The sequence below is a fragment of the Homo sapiens genome, chromosome 14, assembly GCF_000001405.40.
Source record: "Homo sapiens chromosome 14, GRCh38.p14 Primary Assembly".
Classification (NCBI taxonomy): domain Eukaryota; kingdom Metazoa; phylum Chordata; class Mammalia; order Primates; family Hominidae; genus Homo; species Homo sapiens.
Genome location: NC_000014.9, coordinates 60,186,297 through 60,213,250, shown reverse-complemented (window position 1 = coordinate 60,213,250; position 26,954 = coordinate 60,186,297). Strand labels below are relative to the sequence as shown.

The 26,954-nt window shown below is 39.7% G+C and overlaps 1 pseudogene, besides 3 other annotated features; it reads left to right on the top strand.

Moving 5' to 3' along the window:
- Positions 138–217: an enhancer, noted in NCBI's record as "active region_8471". NCBI's record gives its function as "activates an Ori minimal core promoter by ATAC-STARR-seq in GM12878 lymphoblastoid cells {active_cell/tissue: GM12878}" and the evidence as "EXISTENCE:reporter gene assay evidence [ECO:0000049][PMID:35858748]".
- RPL17P2 (ribosomal protein L17 pseudogene 2) lies at positions 317–798 on the top strand (annotated as a pseudogene).
- Positions 5,529–5,598: an enhancer, noted in NCBI's record as "active region_8470". NCBI's record gives its function as "activates an Ori minimal core promoter by ATAC-STARR-seq in GM12878 lymphoblastoid cells {active_cell/tissue: GM12878}" and the evidence as "EXISTENCE:reporter gene assay evidence [ECO:0000049][PMID:35858748]".
- Positions 23,232–23,351: an enhancer, noted in NCBI's record as "active region_8469". NCBI's record gives its function as "activates an Ori minimal core promoter by ATAC-STARR-seq in GM12878 lymphoblastoid cells {active_cell/tissue: GM12878}" and the evidence as "EXISTENCE:reporter gene assay evidence [ECO:0000049][PMID:35858748]".

The following is a 26,954-nucleotide window of genomic DNA, read 5'->3' as shown; positions in this document are numbered from 1 at the left end:
TCTGCAAGGAGACTAGATTAGAGATATATATTTGAATCAGCAGCCTATGTAAATGTGATCATCCTGGAATGACAAAACAGAGCACGAGGAACAGATTGAGCTCAGGACAGAGCCCTGAGGAGCCCCAACATTCAGAAGTGGCTTGAGAAGAAGGGATCAGGACAGGAGTCTGAGGCCACAGGGGTGGTAGGAAACTTAGAGTGCATGGTCTCATAGGGGCCAAAGGAAGAGAGTGATTTGATAATTGGTTAGTAGTTGACAGTGTCAAGTACTGCTAAGAAGTTAAAGATGATGAGACTGCTCTTCCCCTAAGTGACCTGAGGTGATCTGTGAAAATAGTTCACTATTCACTTGACCCAGAAAATCCCACAAAATTATGCAAATCAAGAGGTTCAAATCTTTGTGTTCACTTTCAGAACACTCATGAAACTGCCCAGGCCATCAGGGGTATGCATATACAAAAAGCCCCAAGTATCTGAAAGACGTCACTTTACAGAAGCAGGGTGTACCATTCCGACATTTCAGGGGGGGAGTTGTTGGGTGTGCCCAGGCCAAGCAGTGGGGCTGATGGGGTTGGTGGCCCAAAAAGCTTGCTGAATTTTTGCTGCACATGCTTAAAAGTGCAGAGGGTAATGCTGAGCTTAAGGGTTTAGATGTAGATTCTCTGGTCATTGAGCATATCTAGGTGAACAAAGCACATAAAATGCATTACTGGACTTACAGAACACGTAGTCAGATTAACTCATACATGAGCTCTCCCTGCCACATCGAGATGATCCTTACTGAAACAAATTGTTCAAGAAGAAAAATAATGAGTGAAGTGTCCAATTATTAAAGAAGAACCTGTTTATTTTTTAAATGAATAACAGTAGGTATTAAATCACTACAGTATTTGTGTTCTACTAGCTACATTTGAAAGAGTGGTACAAGAGTTTTATTATTTAATAGTAATTTCAATTTTATCAGTAATTACCTTTTTATTAACCATTCAAACTTCTGATAAAAGTGGTTAGATGTTGATTTAAAAATATGTGAGGAGTTGCCTAACTTTCAAAATTCTTCTCTGCTATCAATAGTTAGAAAAATCCCTTGATTTAGGCCAAATGCAGTGGCTCATGTCTGTCATCCCAACACTTTGGGAGGCTCAGGCGGGCAGATCACCTGCACTCGGGAGTTCGAGACCAGCCTGAGCAACATGGGAAACCCTATGTATACAAAAAATACAAACAATAAGCCAGGCCTGGCGACACATGCCTGTGATCCCAGCTACTCAGGAGGCTGAGGTGGAAACATTGCTTGAGCCCAGAAGGTCGAGGCTGCAGTGAGCCAAGATCACGTCATTGCACTCCAGCCTGGGTGACAGAGTGAGACCCTGTCATACACACACACACACACACACACACACACGCACACATACACACACACACACACTCCCTTGATTAAGTACATCAGAGCTTTAATGTACAATGCACCACAGTAAGATTTAAGAAGGGAGAAATGTATGAATTTCTTCTGTAAGGTGGAAAAGGGTAATTGTGAAAAGGAAGATAAGAACCAAAAACTGGCAGGTGCATTTTCAGGTGGATAGGTTTATAAAAATGTACAAAATTGTTTTAAATTTTGCAAAAGGTAGTTGAGTATCTCTGCCCATATTCCCTTGGAAAGTCTTTGTGTTCCACTGGGAGTTCACATAACACAGGTTAAAAACTGCTGGTTTAGCCCAAACTTCATTCTGCATCACTCAAATAAAATTAGGATTCTGTAAACAAAGACAATTCTACAATATCTGCAATAGGTAGTCTTCTGAGAGTGAGTCAGAGAAACAGCAGTGGCAGAGAATGGGAGCTCAAGCTTTCTAGAGAACAAAGGTAAGATTGCTGGGCTATGTAGACCACCTGCTGATATCTATAATTAAGATTTTATTGTGATACAAATCTGGATTGGTTTTGTGATTTTTACGGCCACGCTCAGCTGCTTAGGCATTGACACAGGGGAGGACTGGGGGTTCTGTAGGCAGATGCTATGAAAGGAGAAAAAGCCAATTAAGCCTAGCATATTTGCGATAGGATGATTGTAATGATGGGCTCAGGAATCTAAGCTGGTGTGGGAGAAGGGAAGGCAAAAGGGCATGATGGCAAAAATGTGGAAAGGATCATAGATCAAAAAGCCTGACCCAGGCACAGTGGCTCATGCCTGTAATCCTATCACTTTGGGAGGCTGAGGCAGGAAGATCATTTGAGCTCAGGAGTTTAAAACCAGCTTGAGAATTATAGCAATACCTCCATCTCTACCCCCCAAAAAAAAAAAAAAAAAAAATTAGCTAGGCATGATGGCATGCACCTGTTGCTTGTGAGGCTGAGTGGGGAGGATAGCTGGAGCCCAGGAGTTCGAGATTGCAGATTGCAGTGAGCCATGATGACATTACTGCACTCTACCCTGGGCAACAAAGTGAGACCCTCTCTCAAAAAAAGAAAAAAAAATCTAATGAAGCTAAGCAGGAAAGCTGGAAGGAAGAGATAATGGATGACTGATATGGTTTGGCTGTGTCCACACCCAAATTTCATCTTGAATTGTAGCTCCCATAATTCCCACATGTTGTGGGAGGGACCCTGTGGGAGATCATTGAATCATGGGGGTGGTTTCCCCCACACTGTTCTCCTGGTAGTGAATAACTCTTACAAGATCTCATGATTTTATAAGGGATTTACCCTTTCGCTTGGCTCTCATTATTCTCTCTTGCCTGCTGCCATGTGAGACGTGACTGCTCCTCTTTGCCTTCCACTGTGATTGTGAGGCCTCCCCAGCCTTGTGGAACTGTGAGTCCATTAAACTTCTTTTTCTTCATAAATTACCCAGTCTCGGGTATGTCTTTATCAGCAGCATGAAGACAGACTATTACAATGACAAATGGGATGTTCGAATTTATGATTTGTTTTAAAAATGTCTGTTCATGCCCTTTGCCTGCCTTTTAATGGAATTATTTGTATTTTTTGTTGTTGAGTTGTTTGAGTTCCTTGTAAATTCTGGATGTTAGTCCCCTGTCAGATGCATAGTTTTCAAATATTTTCTCCCATTCTGCAAGTTGTCTGTTCACTTTGTTGATTATTTCTTTTGCTGTGCAGAAGAAACTTAAACTTTTTAGTGTAAGTCCCATCTGCCTATTTTTGTTTTTGTTGCCTGTGCTTTTGAGGTCTTAGTCATGAATTCTTTGACTAGACTAATGTCCAGAAGAGTTTCCTGTAGTTATTCTTCTAATATTATTAAAGTTTCAGGTCTTACATTTAAGTTTTTAACCTATCTTGAGCTGATTTTTTTTTATTTGGTGAGAGATGGGGGTCCAATTTCATTCTTCTACATACTGGAATCCAATTTTACCAGCACCATTTAGTGAAAAGGATGTTCTTTTCCCAGTGTACATTCTTGCCACCATTATCTTCAGTGAAACAAGTAAGACACAGAATAATAAATATCACCTGCTCTCACTCATATGTGGGAGCTAAATAATGTTTACACATGGACTTAGAGTGTGGAATGATAGACAGTGGAGACTCAGAAGAGAAACGCAGTGGGAGGAAGATGAATAATGAGAAATTCCCTAATGGGTACAATTTATGTGAATTGGGTGATGGATACCTAAAGGCCCTGACTTCACCACTATGCAATCTATGCATGTAACAATATTGCACTTGTGGTCCATAAATTTAACAAAAAAATGCCTTTGGGTTGTAATGTGATGAATTTTTGGGGGTGAAAAGCACAAGGGGGTGACCATGGCCATGGGTAGCTGTGCAGGAATGGAGATCATCAGGAATTAGGAGGGTAGGTAACTGAGATGCAAGGCTAATGGATGAAATTCAAGGGTAATAGCAGGAGCCATGTAGAGAAGATGGCTGTCAGTCAGGCTCTTCAGTGAATTTGAGTAGGAAGCAAAAGGGAGATCGGCAATTTGTTATTCCATGGTGGGTGGGGCGTGGTGTAGTCCATACAGTGCAAGCCTAAAAGGAGAAGAGGTTTTTATGAGAAAATGGAATGAGGAGGAATGTCTGAAAGTGGCTCTGGAGAACAACAAACAGAACAGTTCTACTTCTCAACCCTGAGGGGTATGGTGCTTATTAGATTTCAAAGCTCTTCGTGCTGAGAGAATACCACTTTCCTTTCTACACATGAAGTACACTGTGATTATAGCTCTCATGTGTGGGTGGGTATAACCCTGAAACTTTGCATACACAACACTGAGAAATACAATCAAACTGGAAAATATATTTTAAAATTTGTATTTTCCAAATATAGGGAAATGTATAGATTCTTGCTTTTAGAGACTACATGAAGAATTTCCCACATTTTTCAGTTTTCAGCTACCTCTTTGGTATCCTTATTTTCCCGAATTTAGGCCTTCTTACTCTATGGAAAGATATTGAGATACAATTTATTTGCTTCAAATTCTATCAACAGAGTAATTTTTGGTCCAGTGGCCTGTACTGCTATTTATTTTTCCACTGCTTTCTATACTTACATGAACACCTGGTAAGTGTCAGGCACTATGTTAGGCACAGATGCAGTAGTTAACAAGACCTATCCCCTCCCTTTAAGGAGCCTAATCTAATGGGGAAGATAATGTAGATTATCATTAGATACCTCATTCATTTATTTGTCCACTCTGGCATTGACTTATCCATTCATCCATCCATCCATCCATCCATCCATCCATCCATCCATCCTTCAGCAAACATTTATTAGGCACTCAACTTGGGCATAGCATTACCTTAGCAACCTTGACCACTGTGCATTTGTGGAGATCCATGACCCATAATTACGGGTCTGATCAGTAAAAATAAATCTGGAATTCCTTAAGGTAAAAAGCACATTTTACTAATACTTGCTATTGGATAAAGGGCATATGGATGGTCACAAAAAATACTCTAACAGTCAGTATAATGTGTCTAAAAGCTTGGACTTTGAAGTCAGATCAACTTGAATTCAAATTCTGGTTCTATCACTTTTTAGCTGTTTGCCTTCAGGCAAGTTTAATCTCCAGGCTCCTTAGTTTTCTCAACTGTAGAATGGAAATGATACTTATCTCATAGAAGTGTTGAAATTGAGCAAGATAATATCTATATAGCTTAGAAAATAAGTGCCTATTAAGTGACATGATGCCGTCAAAAAATTATTAAGGCAAATAGAAACAGACAAGACTATATGGCCACACTCCATCACCTCTTTCTTTTTTGGGTCAAATTTGGTAATAACCACTTTGAAAAGAAAGGACATGAAAACACACACACACACATACACGCAAGCACACACACACATGTGTGCACACACACAAGTGTGACACAAGAATCTGGACAGTGGAGAGCCCTGATAGCCCAAGGGTTCCATGTAACTTCTGTGACACGAGACCTTTTCCACTTTAGCAGGGAATGAGCTGTTCACAGCACCGGCGGTAAAATCCAGTTATCTAACAGAATTAGGTTTACGCTGGCAAGATGCTTTACCTGGGGCTGAGAAAGCCACTGGTTCAGATCCAGCAGTGTCAGAATTTTGCCACATTTCTATTGGTGGGGGCTTTGGCATAAACCATCAAGGCTCCCACCTGATAATGATAACAATGAGTGAGAGGTCATTAATTCTAGCAGGTTAACTAATACATTAACTTCTCCTAGAGAAGAGGGTTTCAACTTGCCTGCACCTTGGAATTGCTATGGAGCTGTTAAAAAGGAATGATTCCAGGTCCCACACCCAGAGATTCTGATTTAATTGGTGTGGGATTCTGTCTGAGCATGGGGATTTTTAAAAACTGCTCTAGTGATTCTAATGAGCAGCTAGGGTTGAGAAACCCTGCCCTAGAGCCTAAGGTCCCATTTCAAGTCATAGGGAAGTTCCCATCTATATTGCGTAAAGCCAATGGTTCCTATGCACACACGAATTCATTCTCTCTCTCTCTCACACACACACTCATACACATACACTCTAGCCACTTTCTAATCTTTGAAACCTCACTGAGAAACAAGAGTGATAAGGTGAGTAGATACTAAGACAGTTTTAATTAGAAAATAGTTGAAGGAAGAAATACTTCAGAGAGTTTGTAGGCAACAGAGAAGACATTCAAAGAAAGAAGTAATATAGGTCTCATTTGCCAATGGATTTCCAGCAACTGGGATGAGGGGAATGAAGGAAGGAAAGGGAAGAAGCAAGAGAAAAGAGAAACAGGGGAAGGGGAGAGAGAGAGAGAGAACAAGAACACAAAGATGCGCAGATTTGGAGCGTCAATGGGGGTTGGAGGAGGTTTAAGAAAGTCCCTGACAGGAATTCTGTGGAAAGTCCACAGAATATAAGCACAAGGTCAGCTGAGGAAGAGAAAAGACTCAGTCGATGCTGGGCACGTATTTTATTGAGTTCCCATCAGTTGAATTTGTGCTTTCTTCAGCAGCGACACCCCAACCTTGTCATGGATGACCATGACCCCAGTTTGGGAGATTTGAAAGACCCTCCTGCCCTGACTCGGCACATTTTCTATTTCTTTCTTTCTTTTTATTTCTTCTCCTATTGATCTTCCAATAGTCACTATGGCCCGATTCTCAGTGCAGCCTGCAGTCTACGAACTAAGTGTAATGTGTTCTAATCTGCTCGGACGTTGTGCTCTGCTCTTTGACTGGTGCCAATAGATCTGCCCTGATGTCATGCACGTGGTCTTGGTTGGGCTTCTTATAATCTCAGCTCTCATGTATTAATTCTGGCAGGGAACAATATGTGCTGAGGAAGAAAAATGCAGCCAAGTGGCCCCGGAAGAGATTACACCCAAACTTTGATCTTCATATATATTGTTTGGTTCAAAGGGTAGTCATTGGTCTCAGCAACTCCTTCCCAGGTACTCTCATGTGATCCTAGGTAATCAAGCCTAAAACGGTACACTTTTCTCCCTGACTCATTTTTACCAGAACAATCATAATGAAAATGTAATTATATGACAGAACACCGAGGACATAGAACTTCACTCCTTTGTTGAGGTAGTCTTTTCACATAGAATTTTCATTTGCCAGTAGCTTGATGTCTGCTACTCCTAGAAAGATTTCTTTAAGATCTAAAGATTACACGATGCCCCAAATTTGAGAACCTTTGAGCTCCCTATTGACCCGTGTTCTACCAATTGTGAAGTGGAACAAAGAACAAAGGACAAATTTAAGAGGTTTCTACAAAAGAGCTGGATACCAGCAAAAGACATGAAAAAAGATATAAACAAACTGTAGAAATAGGAAAATGTATAGTAAAATTTTATACATGTGTCATTTAGTTCCTCTTCCCTTAGGAAATTATGATACATTGGGAACAATTAATACAAGGATGATATATAATAAAAAATTATCATGACCTAAATGTTTATCAGCTTGGTTTGTTGAATAAATTATGGTACATACATATAATGGAATACTATGGACAGTAATAGATGAGATGGAATGCTACAGTTATTGTATATGTTAAGTTAAAATGCCAATTGCAGAACAGTGTGATCCAATTTGAAAAAAAATCTGGAAGAGACACACTACAATGTGGTAGGGTGACAGAATTTCTCTTCTTTGTGTCATTGATTTTTTTTTTTAGAGTAAGCATTCACTGCTTCTATAATCAGCAAAAACACTGAAACTTTTCCACCCACACCCCCATAAAACAAAAAAAAAGAAAGTATTTGTATGAGCAAGTAAGAATTTACATAAAAGGTGATACTATTTCCCTCCTCCCCCCACCACACACACATCTTTTTCCCCTGGTACTGGAATTCAAAAGTCAGTATCACTGTGGCAATGACGAATAGGCAAAGGTTTGGTAGAGCCATGATGTTCCGAGATTTTTATTAAAGAAATTCACAAGCCTGATGAGTTGAAGAAAGCCTAAAAAGCTTTCTCCTTTTATGGTGTTGTGTGTATATGTTTGCATGCCCTTAGATGCAGCTTCTCATGCATCTTTTCCAATGACTCGTGGAGACTCTGGGTCAATGTCAAGAGGGCAGACTCTTTTCATATTCCCTCTCCCTTCCTGATCCCCAGAGGAAGGCCTTCTTTTAGAATCCTTGGCTGCGCCCAGCACCAGCGCTGGGAAAACTTCAAGTAGAGGAGGCTCTACCCACATTCCCTCCACAGGACCATCTTCCTCCTCTCAGCTTCCCCTCTCACCACTCTCTGTCACCTGAGATACCCAAGCTACTCCCCATAGCCTGTTTCTGTCAGCTGTGGTCCCTCACCACACATACCTCTCACAGCCTTTCAGCCTCCAGAATAACATTGCTTTCTATTCCTGGCTCCCTGTTGAACCATGACAACTCCTATCTTGTCAGGGCAATGTTCCTGATTAAGAGGAATTAAAATCTCAAAACAGGGCAAATAATCAATACTCTGACAAGTAGTACGTCACCAGGGCTAGTCACATCTCAGAAAGAGAGTTAACCTGAAGGAATGAATCTGTAATATTGTAATTTAGCCAGGGTTACAGACTAATAAGGACAATATTTTGGGTGGGTGTATGTGTCCGTGTGGGGGTGGAGGCAGGAAGCTAATTAGCAACACAACAAGGACTAGAACTTTTGTTTCCCTGTTGCTCAATCCAGGGCTCTTCTGGCAATAGTTTGCTGCCTTTTTTTTCTCCTTTATTGGAATTTAACACTTTAAGTAGTATTGTATAATTTGAAGAAAATTTCATCCTTCAATACTTTAAAGAGGAAAAGTATTACATTGCTATAGAATGTGTGTAAAACGCTGATTTGAACAGTGTTTGTAGTCATTTTGGCATATCAAACGATTATTAAATTACAGTATCTCCAGTTTAAAGCAAAGAATCAAGATAGTATTAACCCCTGCCATACTGTTTGAGAGGCAGTGAGCTCTGAAATCAGATTGCCTGGGTTGAGTGGGCAGGCAGTCTTATTTACATGCAACGGCTAGTTTAGCCACACGCCAGCTGTGTGACCTTGGGCAAATTAACCTTGCCTCTCCATGCTTGCGTTTCCTCTTTCATAAAACATGAGCAATAAAGGTATCGATCTTACAGGGTTGCTGCTAGCATTGAATGAGTTGATGCATATAAAACATTTAGAACAGAGCCTGGCACAAAGTAAACACCCGATAGATGTCCCTTGTGCAATTAGCAGTTGATGAAATGAAAGTATAGGTCACAGCTACATATATATTTTGTTGGATGCTCAAGTCAGCAAAAAATATGTTAAACATACCAGTGAGAATAGTCAGGAAAACTTAAAAAGAACAATGATAAAATGAAGACTTGCATTTCCAGGCATTACTATCTTTTATACCACCTATCAGTACAATCAGTGAAATAAAATGAGACTGTAGTAACAGTAAACAGAACAATGGAACAGAATAGAAACCTCTAAAAGCAACCCCAAACACACACATGAATTTAGTACTAGCAAGATTGACATTTGAAATTTGGGAAGAAAAATTGAGCCACCCAATAAATAGTAGTAAGACAAATGGTGAGACATTTGGAAAAGTCATCAAATCTGTTTTTTATAATTTATACCAAACTAAGTTACAGGCGGATAAAGGTTAAATGTAAAAACAAAATAAAAATATGAAAGGATGAAAAGTAAGGATAGAGTATAAAGATAACTATAATCAGCTATCAAGGAAAGGAAAGACTTCACTTAAAAATAAAGGAGAAGCCATAAAGAAACAGCTAAATAGACTTTAATATGTACAATTATTAAAATTCTGTATATTAAAAAATTAAAGAACGGGGGAAAAGTTGAATATGGGGTCAAGAGCATTACTTGATAAAGCTCATTTATAAATCAGTTAGAAAATATGATGCCCACTGAAACAGAGAAATGGGTAAAGGACATGAAAGGTAAATTCCCAAAAGATACTAAATGACCAAAATAAAATAAGAAATTTCAGTTAGATTAATATTTGAAGGAATGCAGTTCCCTTAAAATGAGATACTATATCTCTTTTAATGAATTTACAACTTTTAGTAAATTATAATCCCCAGTATTTGTGAGAGTTTGGGGAATGGATATTTTCAAGTACTGTTAATAGGAGTGTATTTTGCTACAACATTTCTTCAGAGTATTTTAGTGGTGTGTCAAAAGTCTTAAAAATGCTTATAGCCTTTGACTAGTAATTCCACTTCTTAAAATTTGTCAGAGGGAAATAATTGGGAATGTAGCCAAAGGCTTATCTTTAAAGATACTGAACATTTCTCATAGTAGGAAAAAACAGAACAAAACAAAGGATTGGATAAATAGATTGGATTTTCCATATGAAGGAATAATATACAGTCACTAAAAACAATGTGTTTGGCAGGGAGTGGTGGCTCATGCCTGTAATCCCTGCACTTTGGACTTTGGGGAGGCCAAAGCAGGAGGAGAGCTTTAGGCCAGGAGTTCAAGACCAACCTAGGCAACACAGTGAGACCCCCATCTCTACCAAAAAAAAAAAAAAAAAAAAGAAAGTCAGACATGGTGGTGCACACACGTAGTCTCAGATACTTGGGAGGCTGAGGCAGAAGGATTTCTTAAGCCCAGGAGTTTGATGCTAGAGTGAGCCGTGGTCATGCCAATGCACTCCAGCCTGGGTGGCAGTGCTAGACGCTGCCTCTAAAAAAAAAGTTTGTTTAATAACATGGAAAACTTAACAGAATATACGATGTTAAAAAAAAACTGGCTTATAAAACAGTTCAATACCAACATTTTAAAATATGAATTCTTAAAGGGATGAAAAAATATGTTTCAAAGTCTTAGCAGCTGCTTATTTCTAAGTGGTGAAATTGAGGATTATTTTGATTTTCTTCTTTTTCTCTTTTTTTTTTTTTTACAGAGGGCATGTATTATCATTTTAGTTAAAATTTTAATTGAGACAATTATAGATTTACATGTAATTGTAAAAAATAATAGAGAGATCTCTGTACCCATTATCTGGGTTCCCCCAATGGTTATATCTTGCAAAACTATACTATGATATCACAACCAAGATATTGGCATTGATACAATCTGTAGATCTTATTCAGATTTCCCAAGTTTTGCTTGTACTCATTTGCATATGGGTGTGTGTTTAGTTCTATACAATTTTATCACATCTGTAGGTTTGGTTATTCACCAGCATAAGCAAGATACGGAGCAGTTCCTTTACCATAAGAAAGATCTCTCCTGTTACCTTTATACCCTCACCTACATTCCACTTTTTTAAATTTTTAATTTTTATGGATACATATTAATAGAAGTTATATGTATTTATGGGGTACATGAGATATTTTGCAACAGGCATACAATGCATAATAATCACCTCAGGGTAAATGGAATATCCATCACCAAACACTTATCATTTCTTTGTGCTACAATCATTCTAATTATATCCTTTTAGTTATTTAAACATGTACAGTAAATTATTGTTGACTGTAATCACTCTGTTGTGTTATCAAATAGTAGCTCTTATTCATTCCATCTAACTATATTTTTATACTCATTAACCATCCTGACTTTCCCCACCGCCCACAATCGTTCCCAGCCTCTAGTAACCATCATTCTACTCTCTATCTCCATGGGTTCAGGTGTTTTAATTTTTAACTCCTACAAATGAGAGATAACATGTGAAGTTTGTCTTTCTGCGCCTGGCTTATTTCACTTAACATAATTACCTCCAGTTCCATCCATGTTGTTGCAAATGACAGGATCTCATTATTTTTTATGGCTGAATAGTACTCCATTGTGTATATGTACCATATTTTCTTTATCTGTACGCCTGTTATTGAACACTTAGATTGCTTCCAAATCTTGGCTATTGTGAATAGTGCTGCAATAGACATGGAAGTTTATTTCTTCAGACGTTTCTTCAATATACTGATTTCCTTTCTTGTGGATGTATACCTAGCAGTGGGATTGCTGAATCACATGGTAGTTCTGTGAGTTATTGAGGAAACACCGTACTGTTCTCCATAGTGGTTATACTAATTTACATTGCCACCAACAGTGTATGAGGGTTCCTTTTTCCCCACATCCTCCCCAGCATTCATTATTGCCTGTATTTTGGATAAAAGCCACCTTTTAACTGGGGCGAGATGATACCTCATTGTAGTTTTGATTTACATTTCTCTGATGATCAATAATGTTGAGCATTTTTCATATACCTGTTTGCCATTTGTATGCCTTCTTTTGAGAAATGTCTTTTCGAGCTTTTGCGTATTTTTATCACTTTTAGATTATTACAACATTTTTTCCTATTGAGGTGTTTGAACTCCTTACATAATCTGGGTATTAATCCTTTGCGAAATGAAGGGATAAATATTTGTTTGCAGATATTTCATCCCATTCTGTGGGTTGTCTCTTTGTTGATTGTTTTCTTTGCTATGCAAAAGCTTTTTAACTTGATGTGATCCCATTTGTCCATTTTTGCTTTGGTTGCCTGGGCTGGTGGGATATTACTCAAGAAATCTTTGCCAAGACCAATGTCCTGGAGAGTTTCCCTGAAATTCTCTTTTAGTAGTTTCATAGCTTGAGGTTTTAGATTTGTCTTTAATCCATTTTGATTTGATTTTTGTATATGACAAGAGACAGGAGTCTATTTTCCTTCTTCTGCATAAGGATATCCAGTTTCCCAGCACCATTTATTTATTTTTAGTAGAGGCAGGGTTTCACCATGTTGGCCAGGCTGGTCACAAACTCCTGACCTCAGGTGATCCTCCCGCCTTGGCCTCCCAAAGTGCTGGGATTACAGGCGTAAGCCACCATGCCCAGCCTAGATGATTTCTTACTGCTCATTAACATCCTCTTCTTTCAGATTGAAGAACTGTTAGCATTTCTTATAGGATAGGTCTAGTGTTCATGAAATCCCTCAGCTTTTGTTTGTCTCAGAAAGTCTTTATTTCTCCTTCATGTTCAAAGAATACTTTTACTGGATATACTATTCTAAAATAAAATATTTTTCCCTTGAGAACTTTAAATTTGTCATGCCATGCCATTCTCTCCTGGCCTGTAGGGTTCCCACTGAGAAGTCTGCTGTCACACATATTGGAGCTCCTTTGTATGTTATTGTTTCTTTTCTCTTGCTGTTTTTGGGATTCTTTCTTTATTGTTGGCTTTTGGGAGTTTGATTATTAAATGTCTTGAGGTAGTCTTATTTGGGTCAAATCTTCTTGGTGTTCTATAACATTATTGTACTTGAATATTGATATATTTCCCTAGGTTTGGAAAGTTCTCTGTTACTATCCTTTTGTATGGACTTTCTACCCCTTTCTCTCTCTCTACCTCCCCTTTCAAGCCAATAACTCTTAGATTTGCCCTTTTGAGGCTATTTTCTAGATCTCGTAAGCACGCTTCATTCTCTGTTATTCCTTTTTCTTTTGTCTCCTCTGACTGTGTATTTTGTTTCTTTTTTTTTTCCTTTAAACTTATTTTTGAGATGAGATCTTGCTCTGCCACCTAGGATAGAGAGCAATGGTACAATCATAGCTCACTGTAACCTCAAACTCCTAGACCCAAATGATCCTCCCACTTCAGCCTCCCAAGTAGCTAGAACTATGAGCATGTGTTGCAATACTCAGATAATTTTTAAATGTTTTTGTAAAGGTGGGGCCTCACTATGCTGCCCAGGCTGATCTCAAACTTCTGGCCTCAAGCAATACTCTTGCCTTGGCCTCCCAAAGAATTGGGATTACAGGCATGAGCCACTGTGCCTGGCCTGACTGTGTATTTTCAAGTACCCCATCTTCCAGTTCACCAATTATTTCTTCAGTTTGATCAATTCTGTTGAGAGACTCTGATGTATTCTTCAATATGTCAATTGCATTTTTTAGCTCCAGAATTTCTGCCTGACCTTTAAATTTCATTTCAATGTCTTTGTTAAATGTATGTGATAGGATTCTGAATTCCTTCTCTGTGTTATTTTGAATTTTTTGAGCTCCCTCAAAACAGCTATTTTGAATTCTCTATCTGAAAGATCACATATCTCTGTCACTCTAGGATTGGTCATTGGTGCCTTATTTAGTTCATCTGGTGAGGTCATGTCTTCCTGGATGGTCTTTATGCTTCTTGATGTTTGTCAATGTTTGGGCATTGAGAAGTTAGGCATTTATTATAGTCTTCACAGTCTGGGCTTGATCGTACCTGTTCTTGGAAAGGCTCTCCAAGTATTCAAAGGGAATTGACTACTGTGATGTAAGTCTTTGGTCACTGCAACTGTATCTGCATTAGGGGCCCCCACCAAGCCCAGTAAAGTTGTGACTCTTGCAGTGTTATAGAGGTACTGCCTTGGTGGTCTTGGGTTAGAGCTGAGAGAATTCCCCAGATTACTAGGCAGAGACTCTTGCTCTTTTCCCTTACTTTCCCCCAAACAAATGGAGTCTCTCTCTGTGTCTGTGCTGAGCTTCCTGGAGCTAGGAGAGGGGTGACACAAGCCCCCTGTGACCACTGCCACTGGGACCATATTGGGTCAGATCTGAAGCCAGCATAGCACTAGGTCTTACCCAACACCTGCAGCATCCACTGCCTGGCTGCTGCCGATGTTCACTCAGGGCTTACGAGCTCTTCAATCAGCAGGTGGTGAGTCCAGCCAGGTATGTGTCCTTGCTTTCAGGTCAGTGAGCACCCACCCTCTAGCCTAGGGTGGGCCCAGACATGCCATTTAGGAGCCACGGCATGGAGCCAGGAACCTTGGAATTTACTTGGTGCTTTATCCTATCGCAGCCAAACTGGCATCTAAGCCATAAGACAAAGTCTTTCACATGCCTTCCTCTCCTTTCTTCAACCAGAAGGTGCCTCTGATGAGTACTGCCTGGCTACCATCAATATTCACTCAAGGCCCAAGGGCTCTTTGGTCAGCTTGTGATGAATGCTGCCAGCCGGGGTCTCTTACTTCAGGGCATTGGGCCACCCTCTGGCCCAAGGCAGGTGCGGAAATGCCGTCCAGGAGCCAAGGCCTAGAATCTGGGACCCCAGGAGCCTGCCTGGTGCTCTAGTCCAGTGTGGTCAAGCTGGTACCCAAGCTGCTAGACAAAGTGCCCTTTGTTATTTCCTCTCCTTTTCTCAGGCAGAATGGGTCTGTCCCTGTGACCACCACACATGGGAATGTGATGGGTCACACTCGAAGCCAGCACAGCTCTGAGTCCCACCCAAGGCCTATGGTGAGAACTGCCTGGGTGCCACTGCTTATTATTCAGGGCCCAAGGGCTGTTTAGTTAGCAGGTGACTCATCCTGCCAGAACTGGGTCCTTCCCTTCAAAATAGCAGGTTCCCTTTTGGCCCAGAATGTGTCTAGAATTGTCATCCAAGAGCTAGAGCCTACAGTGGAGGCATCAGGACTCTTTCTGGTGCCCTATTCTTCTGTGGCTGAGCTGGTATCCAAGTTGCAAGACAAAGTCCTCTTTACTCCTTCTTCTCCTCACACAGAAGGAAGTAGTCCTTCCTGGATTTGCAAGCTGCAGTGCCTGGGGTTGGGGGAAGGGTGGTGTGAGCACTCCCTTGGCCACCCTGGCTGCTGTCTCACTAGGTTATATGCACCCCCAGACCACTGACTTCAAGCCCAGCACAGCAACAGGACTTGCCCAGAAATTGTAGCCCTTGTGACACAGATGGCCTTTCAAGTTGATTTAGGACCTCAGAGCACTTTAATCCATGGTGGCAGAGCTTGCTGGAACTCAGATTCCAACTGTTGGGATGGGCAATTCTCCTCTGGCTAAGGCTGGTCTGAATGCTTTCTACATGGGCTCCAGGTGAATTCTGCCTCGTGTTGCTTTCCTCTGTGACAGAGCAGCACTGGGTTCCAATGCAAAATCCCACAGTCACTTTGTCCTCCCTCCCCCAAATGCACAGATTCTCTCTCAGCACTATGTAGCCGCTGCTGAGGATTGGGGAGGGGTGGTATTGATAATTCAAGACTGTCTTTCATGCCCTCTTCAGTGCCTCTTTCCTTGATATGGTGTTAAAAGTAGGTACTGTGATTATTGACCTGATTTTTGGTTCTTATGAAGGTGCTTTCTTCTGTGGATAGTTATTCAATTTGGTGTTCCTGCTGGGGGGATGATTACTGGAATGTTCTCTCTGACCATCTTACTCTGCCTCTCTCCTCTCTTTTGCCCCACTTTCCAACTCTGGTTCTTAACTCTGGAAACCACTAGTCTGTTCTTCATTTCTGAAATTTTATGTTAAATATGTGCTTAAATTTGTTAAATAATTTTAAATATTGAATGTTAAATAAAAGAATATTAAATGCTCAAAATGTTAAAATATGTTAAATCTTAACATTGAACTGTTGTTAAAGAAATACAGTAGAATCATATAGTATGTAACTGTTTAGGATTGACTTTTTCCCCCACTCATCATAATTCCCTGGAGATTCATCCACATTATTGCACGTATCAATAGTTTGTTTCTTTTTATTGCTAAGTAGTATTTCATGGTATAGATATGTCACAGTTTATTTAACCATTCATTCATTGAAAGGCCTCTGGACTGTTTCCAGTTTTGGCCATTATGAATAAAGCTGATATGAACATTTGTGAACAACATTTGTTGTGGGTATAAGTTCATTTCTCTGGGATAAATGCTCAAGGGTACAGATGCTGGGTCATATGAATATTTGTGTGTTTAGCTTTTAGAGAAACTACCAAAGTATTTTCCAAAGTGGCTGTACCATTTTATATTCCCATCAACAACGTATGAGTGATTCAGTTTCTCTTCATTCCTCATCACCGTTTGGTGCTGTTACTATTTTTTTTATTTTCCCCTTCTGGTAGGTATAGAGTGATTAGTCATTGTGGTTTTAATTTTAACTTCCCTGATAGCTAGTGAACATCTTTTCATGGGCTTATCTACCATCTTCAGTGAAATGTCTGTTCATGCTTTTGGTCCATGTTCTAACTGAATTGTTTATTTATTTTTTTTAGTATTAGGTTTTGAGTTTTAATTTGTTGGATATGTAGTTTGCAAATATTTTTCTCCCAGTCTGTAGCTTGTCTGTTTATCTTCTTCACAGTCTTTGTTATTCACATGGTCTTTCACAGTGGAAAGGTCTTTTTTTTAGCCTATGGATGTCAAGTTGAGTTTCAAATCTGTCCAAAGAGCATTTAAGAAACTAGGTGTCTTTGACAGTGCTGGCATAAGATTGCTGGCTTATATACAAAACTGGTTAATGTCCAGTAGGGCCATAACTATAACTTTTGTGGTTATCTCTTCTATCAGAAAGAAATTATCTGCGTCTCTGCCAGATGAGAACTTTTAAGTTCACTTCTACCCCCACAGAGTTGTAAAATAACTGAGTCAATAGGAAGTTAAGCTCAGCACTACATCGCAAGAGCACCAAGTAATCTCTTTTGTTTCTTTCCAAGTTTCTAGTTTAATAGTATGCCGGGAACACAACACTAAACTTAGGCCAGTGAGAATCTTCAGGTCTTGAGCTTTAAATGACAGATTTCAAATTCACAAGTAATCAACACAATCTTTTGGTTCTTGGTAAAATGTTTAGTATGGGGCAGACCGCCCAGGTTGATCAATCAACTGAAAAATTGCTAGGTATTTTGCTATCCATGTCAGTTTGAAGAGGGCTCGATAAGACTGAGCTTGAAACTTTCCTGGGCAACAGTTTATAAGCAGGAGAGTGAGTCAGGTAACCTCACTGGCCATAGTACAATGTAGTAAGTACTGTCCACTCTTCACGACTCTGCTGTTCTGGGTTCCGTTTAAGATTGTTGGAGTCCTGCTTTCAGTCTAACAGTTCCTGAAATGCTTTTCCCCTTCATTTCAGAGCCCTCTCATGGGCCACCATGCCCAGTGTGGATTGACCAGTTAATAAACACCCCTGTGTTCATGACTTTATGACAGTGATGGATAACCCTAATTTGGATCTAAAAACTGTAACCTTGACTTCTCTATTGGCAGGTCCATGCCTCCCTCTTGAGTTTCTCAGTCAATACTGCATGAGATGAAGAGGCAGAAGCAGGAGAGGATACAGGCATAAACTAAGCGAGGACTCCTTCCCATGCACCAGCCTCTACAACCTACAGAGCTCTCCTTTCCACTGCCCTGGAGTCTTTCAAAGACATAATTCCTGATGATCTAGACTTCCCATGGAGGAATTCAAAAGATCATATTTATTCATTAAGCAGTGCTTCTGAACCCTGCTCCTCACTGATAACCAAATCCCTGAGGTGGCTCTGTTTTATTAATCAAGATCTTAAACTAACTTCTTCAACTCCCACTTCAGTGACCTGAAGAGGGTTTTTGTTTCTAGAAATGTGATTTCTCCACTGCCTAACTCCTGACATACAGACCTTTTTGTTAGAGTCTCCTCTTTTTATTTTTTAAAAATAAACTAGAGACTGGGAGCCGTGGCTCACACCTGTAATCCCATCACTCTGGGAGGCCGATGTGGGCGGATCACCTGAGGTCAGGAGTTTGGGACCAGCCTGGCCAACATGGTGAAACCCCATCTCAGCTAAAAATACAAAAATTAGCTGGGCATGGTGGCATGTGCCTGTAATCCCAGCTACTCAGGAGGCTGAGGCAGGAGAATTGCTTGAACCCAGGAGGTGGAGGTTGCAGTGAGCTGAGATCATGCCATTGCACTCCAGCCTGGGCGACAGAGTGAGACTCTGTCTCAACAACAACAACAACAAAACTATAATATACACATAAAAAAGCATAAAATACAAATGTCCCACTGTTTAATGCAAAATGACGAATGTGAAAAAAGAAAACCTTGCCTAATCAAGAAAGAGCATTGCCAGGCCAGAAGCCCCAGTGTTCCCCTTTCCAAACACAGTTCCCTCTTTCCTTCCCTCCTCAGAGGTACCCACTATTTTGACATTTGTGATAATCATTTTCCTACCTTATAGTTTTACCAATTTTATATTCATACCTTAATAGCATAGCTTAATTTTGCCTGTTTTTAAACTTTTTACAAATGGAATCATACCATATATCTTGCTGCCTTCATTCATCGTTATGTTTCTGAGCCTCGTCCATTTTGTTGAGTCTAAATGTAGTTTATATATACACTCATTTTTGTATAGCATTACATGATTACCCTATATATTTACCCATTTTTATCCATCCTACTAGTGACGAACATTTAAGTTGTTTTAGTTTTTGTTGAATAGGAATAGTGCTATTATAAACATTCTTGGGCATATTTACTGATGCATATGTGCCTCTAGTTTCCCCAGGATAATTCTCTTGGAGTGGCATTTCTGGGTCATAAGGTATGGATAGCTCCGACTTTATTAGAGAATGCCAAGAGGTTTGCCAATTTATTGTCCCTCCAGCACTCCCCCATTCCCCATGCGAGCAGGTGCATGTTTACAATTCTGGTGGAAAGGCCTATGTGGCTGGAGATTTTACATAGTGATTTCTCTTCCCTTTGGCCCTGTGGATCCATGAATACCCAAAGAAGCCATACCACCTAAGGCTCAGATTGAGTCTAACTCTGCCGAAAGACAGTAGGTGTCAAAGTCATCCTCACTGAGCAGGTAGCGATATCACCATAACATCAGTGAGACATTGCCAAAGAGAAGATATAATTTGAACACTTACGATAATTTTGCAAAGCACAAAAATATTCATTGCATTGAAAAACCTTGGCAGAACACTATTTCAATTTTTTACATAACAGTAGTAGTCACATCATAGATATAATTTTGGGTTTTGTTCTATTCCTTTAACAACATATGAATATTTTTCTATATTGCTACAAAAACTTCCTTGCAAATCAAAACACAATGATATATCATCTCGCCCCAATTAAAATGGCTTTAAGCCAAAAACCTTTTATTCATTATATCAGGCAATAATGAATGTCAGTGAGGATGTAGGGAAAATGGAACACTTGTACATTGTTGGTGGGAATGTAAATTAATACAACCACTATGGAGAAAAGTTTGGAGGTTCCTTAAAAAACTAAAAATAGAACTACCAATATGATCCAGCAATCTCAATGCCAGGTATACACCCAAAAGAAAGGAAATCATTATATTAGAGATATCTGCCCTCCCACGTTTATTGCAGCACTATTCACAATAGCCAACATTTGGACCTAAGTGTCCATCAACAGTTGAATGAATAAAGAAAATGTGGTACATATACACAATGGAGTACTATTCAGTCATAAAAAAGAATGAGATTCTGTCATTTGCAACAACATGGATGAAACTAGAGGTCATTATGCTAAGTGAAATGAGCCAGGCACAGAAAGACGAACTTCACATGTTCTCACTTATTTGCAGGAGCTAAAAATGAAAACAATTGAACTTACGGAGATAGACAGTAAAAGGATGGTTACCAGAAGCTGGGAAGGGTACTGGGGGGTCAGAAGGGGAAAGTGGAAATGGTTAAGGGGTACAAAAAATAGAATGAATGAATAAGACCTAGTATTTGCTATCAAAACAGGGTGACTATAGTCAATAAAAATTAATTATAAACTTAAAAATACCTAAAGCGTATAATTGGACTGTCTGTGACACAAAGGATAAATGCTTGAAGTGATTGATACCCCATTTACCCTGATAAGATTATTAAGCATTGCATGCCTGTATCAAAATATCTCAAGTAACCTATAAATACATAAACCTACAATGTACCCCCCAAAATTAAAAACTTAAAAAAACCCAAATACTTCCTGGTAGTTATTTTATTCACTGTGTAATAGTTTGCCAATAGAGAGATGGTTGTGGCAGGTTTTAATGCCCTCCAGTCCCGTTCTTCATTACCCACAAGCAACCCCAAATAAATATTCCATCTAAGTAAAAAGAGCATATACTCTATCTAAATGCAGATTTAAGTCCCTGGTCCTCCCTCTTACAAAAGAGTGTATCCCAAGCCCCTACCATGTAGAAATGCTGGCATTCTACTGACTACCAAGAGTATGCCACGACTGACTTAACTCCTACCCTGTTGGTGAGCCTGCAGGTTGTTTCCAATCCTTTGAAATTTTAAATTGCCCACTCATATTGCCATTTTTCTTCTTTTGGGCTATTTCCTTGGCACATATTTTTATAAGAAGGCTTAATAAATGCAAGGTAATTTTTTTCTGGAACTTGAGATACAATACTGAAGTGGCATTCCTATTTATATTTGCACCCAGGATATGCAAATGAACATGCTGTATTTAACCAGTGTCCTTAGGAATTAACTGGTCCTCTGGAAGTCCAGAGAGTAAGTCTTGGAAGACTACACAGCCATGAAGGATGCTCACATCACCCTCCAGGACTGCTTTGGAGAAAAGCGTGCTGCTGCCATCAGGAAATACCACCACAGCTCATTTGCTGAGTCTGGGCACTGGCTGGTGCCAGGAACTCTGCTGTCACTTCCATCAGAAAATAAACTCTGTGAAGCATCTGCATCCTCCCTTTTCCTTCTTCTCTAACAAAATCTCAATTGGCTATATTTGATTGGTGGAGCCTAGGTTACATGTCTACGTCTCTGTTGCAAAGGAGGTTGGGAAAATAAGTTATTTATTTTTCCTTAAAAGGCAGAACTCATAAGAACTTCTCCAAATATAAGAACATTGTTCAAAAGATGCCGTTGGCCACAAACATGACATATGTCTGCCTCACTTTCCATAACTCTGCCAGCATTAAATGATTAAATTGTTTTGCGAATCAGTTATAAAATAGTTTTTTAATTTTTCTGATTATTAATTAAATTCCCCTCAAGTTTTTATGAACTAATTTTATATTCATTTACATAAATGATCAGTCCACCTTCCTTGCCAATTTTTCTGTTAGAAATATCTGTAAATATATTTATTAATATATTTCTTAGGGATATACAGGAACTTTTCTGTACTATAGAGCTTAAACTTAGTTGTCAATGTTTTAATATTTCAACATCTATCAACATCTAAATGCCACAATCATTTCTGTGCAGAGTGAAGGTCAGGTAGCCTCAGCTTGTCCAACTCTGGCCTTTGCATCTTTTCATTGCTGTGATATTGTTTATTCCAAGAAGCAGCTGGTCTCTGTTCCCATGCATTGACATATGCCCAGAGAATTTCAAGGCACTCCAGAAAGAGAAGGAAATATGAATCCAAAAATCACAGTATTTGTTTGTTTTGTGTTTGTACACATTACATGAATCAAGTTTTGTAGGAAGCATAAGGACATTATCCCTTCAAGTGGCTAAGATAGATGCTCTCGGCTCAGATGGTATTTTTTAAACAAAAACAACAGACTTGACCTTGATATTTTTCTCTCATCTTCATTGTGGATTGATGAGACAGGCAAGGGAAATACTATTTGTTCTTTATGCCTAGATCCTTCATCCAAAGGATTCATTAGTTTACAAACATTGACCTCAAACTGAACCCAAGTCCTATTCTCTACTCCACTCTACAAATGGCCATTTTACATTAAAAAAACAGAGCTAAGTAATTTTATTGAGCTTATAAATACCTTAACAACAAAGCCAGGAATTGGATATTTCTGTTTTCATCCCTTATTATTATTATTTCATATACCATTTATACAGAAGTGTACAACTACTATCCACTTACATTCTCCAGAACCAGGGCATTAGGCAGCATTCTTTGGGGCACCAGTCTGTAGTCCTTTCTCCTACACAAATAACATTTTTAAAGGTGCAGGTTATCTCCTAGACTGTTGGGCAAAGGCCCAAATCCTTCTGGAGCAATCTGCCCGTGTTTTCTGACACATAAGGATTTGCTCGCTAATGCCGCCCATGTCTCTCTGGAAGGACTTTGATGAATGAATGGCATTTTCCACTACTTGGTGAATTGTGTGCTCCTGTGGATAATAAAAATAAATCCAACCAACATGATTACATTTCAGAGAAGAGGTGACAGAGCAGGGAGCAACCAATCAAAAGTATCTAGAGCACCAAATTATGCCCCAGAGGAGTCATCTTGCATATCCTTGGTTCTGTTTCCATGGTAGTAAGCATTGCTTGGTATATTCAAAGGCAATTTAAATGCATTTAGGCCGCAGCTTACAAGGGGATAATCTTGGGAAAATCAGAAGTGAGTAAACATTAACAGCTAGTAAAATAAGCAGTTTTGAAAATTGCACTCCATCTTGCTTGCTTTTCTGTTTAGGGAAAAATATTTTTTTTGACATCTGGAAATTATGTCTGCTTCTAACTTGGGCTTCAGATGACTCATTTCAAGACAGTGCCACAGTTGCCATATGCTAGACTGCAGAAACTTGAGGCTGCTTATTTTTTAAATTTAATTTTTTAGCTCAAAGGTATGAATTTGCATTACTGTTCTCCCCAGGGCCAGCCTGAGGAGTGTGCAGACCAGGCCTGGAGGGTCCCCCTCTCTGAAAATACAACTCCTCACTTATGCTGCAGGGCTAGAGATTCACTTCTTTAAGTTCTGCGGGCTTTTTAGCTTTTCAGAGTCTCCAGGGGAAATTCAAAGGCACCTCTGCGAAGGAAGCTTAGACTGGCACCTTAAGCATCACCAGTTGTTCTCTGCTAACACCCTGGTAGGAACCTGGAAAGAAGACATGAAATAGACACAGAAAAAGGAAGAAGGGACTGGAAGAAGGAAGTGACAGTAGCAAAAACAAAAAGCCTGTTTTCTCATTTTTCCCCTAGAGCATTTCATGATTGTAATAATGGGACAAAGGCCTTGTGTTGCTCTATTTATTGTATAATTTTGTTTAACAGATACCTTTTTAGCACTTACTGTGTGTTAGATACCAATCTATGCGCTTTATAAATATTGACTCATTAATTCCTTATAACTACCTTAAGGTATGAACACTTTTATTATCTCCACTGGGTAGTTGAGGAAACAGGCACAAAGAGGTTGAGGTGGAGGGTCTCAAGGTCACAAGCTAGTAAGTGGCAGAGCCAAGATTCTGCATCGAAGTCATTGGGTGCCAGCATCCCAGCTCTCAGCCGCTATACTCTGCTTATATACTAACCATATATGTTTTCAATTCTTTTTGAAAGTGTTGGTATTAGAAAATGTGGATGAGAAGTCAGCTTAATGGTAACATAGCCAGAATTTATAGCCAGAATTTGGCTTTCAGTTGGAGAATTATAATAATGTCTATAGCGGACTGGGAAGGCCGAGTCCTGGAATTCTATTCTTCGTCTGTTTTATGTAGCACTTAGAGAGCTAGAGCAACTCATAACCTCTGTATTCATCTTTGGATGGAGATTTTGAAGTTCATCAGATAAGAATTTTAATTTTCAAATAAAAGAGAAGTTGAACTTTCCCAAAGGGCATTTGGGCATTAGCCCAAAAGTGAAGGAAACTTCACTTTTTGATCATTCAAAAACAGAGAATAATGGGATGGGAGAATAAAGGAGGGGGCTCAAAGTATTTTGTGGAATCTGAAACTCTTCTATGTGGCTTAGATCATGGGAATTTTCTTGGCCTGCGTTGTGAAGGTAGCATGACCCTTTCTCTATGAGGGATGTGAGTTATTCACTATTTCAAACTGTACAATTGCTTCATTATGTCCACACCCACATTTTTCTGTTTATAGCCAAAGAAAAGGCCTGTTGTTGATACTAAATTACCACCTGAAAATAAGAGTATCATAATTCTTAATTAATTCTTATTCTAAAATATCTTACACTGTCTGGGGAACAGTATATTTTATTTGAGATTGAAAAACAATCTTCAATCATCTTTTATATGAGAAAAAGTATTAAATATTTCTAGGTATTAAAAAATCTAGGTATTTAGAGGTATTAAATCTTTAAAAATTTTTAAATAGCCCTTCACAACCATCAAAAATTGTGTTTTACTTTTTAAGATGTTATGCTTTTTTACACATTAGTGAATTTATTCACAGAACCTGGGTTTTAGGCCTTTGAGAGTTATGGAATACCTAAATGGTTATAGGCCATTGTTCAGAAGCCATTGCACTCCGAAGTCTCAATGGAGAGCTATTTTGGTCCCACACAGGACATTTGGCAATGTCTGGAGACATTTTTGATTATCATAACTTGTGATGGTGGGAGGTTGTTACTGACATCTAGTGGGTTAAGTCCAAGGATGCTGCTAAATGTCTTATAATGTACTAGACAGCGCCCACAACCAAGAATTATCTGGCCCAAAATGTTAACAGTGCTGAGTTTGAGAAACCCTGCAATAGAGATTTTCAAAGCCCTATTTGTAGGACTTTTTACATAGACCCTTCGTTTTATGTTGCTTGCTTTACAAGCCCCCTCATTTACACAGCCAGTCCACCTGGGAGTTTACTGGCTCACAAAGGTACCCAGTGGGACTCGATGATCAGAGAGAATCAGGGAAGCTCTATCTCAGGGGTTAAGGGTCCAAACCACACTAAAAACAATTTTTTGAGCTAACTCAGGAAAGTAATCTTTATTTATAACTTAGAAAAAATATTTGCTAAGCATTAGTCTTGAAGTGAACTTTTGGAACACACCTGTCTAAAAACTTGATCCTGCCTGGCTTGTGTTTCTCATTGCAGATCATGGGATAACAGTTGTGTCTGTATTGTTCAGCGCCATGCTCCTCAGCTCCTGGAAATCTTAAAGAATAGTCACTGCCAGTAGGACTTTTTGTTGAAAGAGTACAAAGTACCACAGAGTGGTAGTAGATGATGGACTTTGGATTCAAGTGTCATCACTTTTGGATGTGTGGTCTTCTTTAATGTAATCTTCAAGACGCTCATCTGAAGTATCAATCTTAACACACTTGGTCAAATAATATGAAATGGCTTATCCATATCACATGCTCTCCAATGCCCGGCATACAGTATGTGTTCAATTAACGCCAATTCTCTTCTCCCTGCTTATCTGTCTTAGGTAGAACTCTTCCCTTCCTTTCCTAGCTCATAAAAATAAAACTTAGGTTCTTTTGCAAGTATTCGGAAGGGAAGTTCTGGCCTTACTTCCATCTATGATGTTCCTCTACAAGGGAGTAGAAAAGATTCATTTGATTGGTGAGATTTGGGGAAAAGAACCCCATGAGTTCACATGGAGCTTTTGTACAGATGACACAAAAGTGCTCCCTCTGGGTGGACACAGCCCTCTGTCCACAAGGCTTGATGGACGGATGGTATCTTTATGTAACATGGATTCAAACCAGTGAGTATAGCTTGGCTAGTGAAATGTGGACTGGATTTCAATCCCCACCTGCTCCTTGGCTGGCACCCTGTGCAGGGAGCAACCCGCACTGATGTAAGCATTCTCATTTTCAGAACTGCCCTGCCTGCAAAGGGCATCTTTTTTCCTCTGTTCCTGATTCTATGGGGTAATCACAGCTGGATCAAGGTCCAATGACAAGCTTCCAGAGGCAGGCTTGTTTTTCACTCCGTGCTGGTAGGTATGGGGCAGGTAGCTGTTTCCCCAGTGGGAATGCGGCTGTTGAGCAAATCTTAGCTGATTTACAGGGTCAAGAAATCTAAACCTGGGGGAAGGAATAGGAAGCCTGGTCTTGCCTGAAGGTCCGGTCCATGTAGCATTCTTTTTTTTTTTTTTTTTTTTTGAGACGGAGTCTTGCTCTATCACCCAGGCTGGAGTGCAGTGGTGTGCTCCCAGCTGACTGCAACCGCCTCCTCCTAGGTTCAAGTGATTCTTGTGCCTCAGCCTCCCGAGTAGGTGGGATTACAGGTGCCTGCCACCAAGCCCAGCTAATTTTTGTATTTTTAGTAGAGGCGGGGTTTCACCATGTTGGCCAGGCTGGTCTCGAACTCCTGACCTCAAGTGATCCTCCCACCTCAACCTCCCAAAGTGCTGGGATTACAGGTGTGAGCCATCTCACCTAGCCCATGTAGCATTCTTCACATCACTCCTGACTGTTGTTCAATTGGTTCAGAATCTATAGAGGAAAGGGATGAGATGAACATTTAAGAAACTCCAAGCCAGGCACCATGACACACGCCTGTAATGCCAGTGCTTTGAGAAGCCGAAGTAGGAGGATTGGAGGCCAGGAGTTTGAGACCAGCCTGGGCAATGTAATGAGATCCTGTTGCTACAAAAAATATAATTTACATAATTAGCAGGGGGTAGTAAC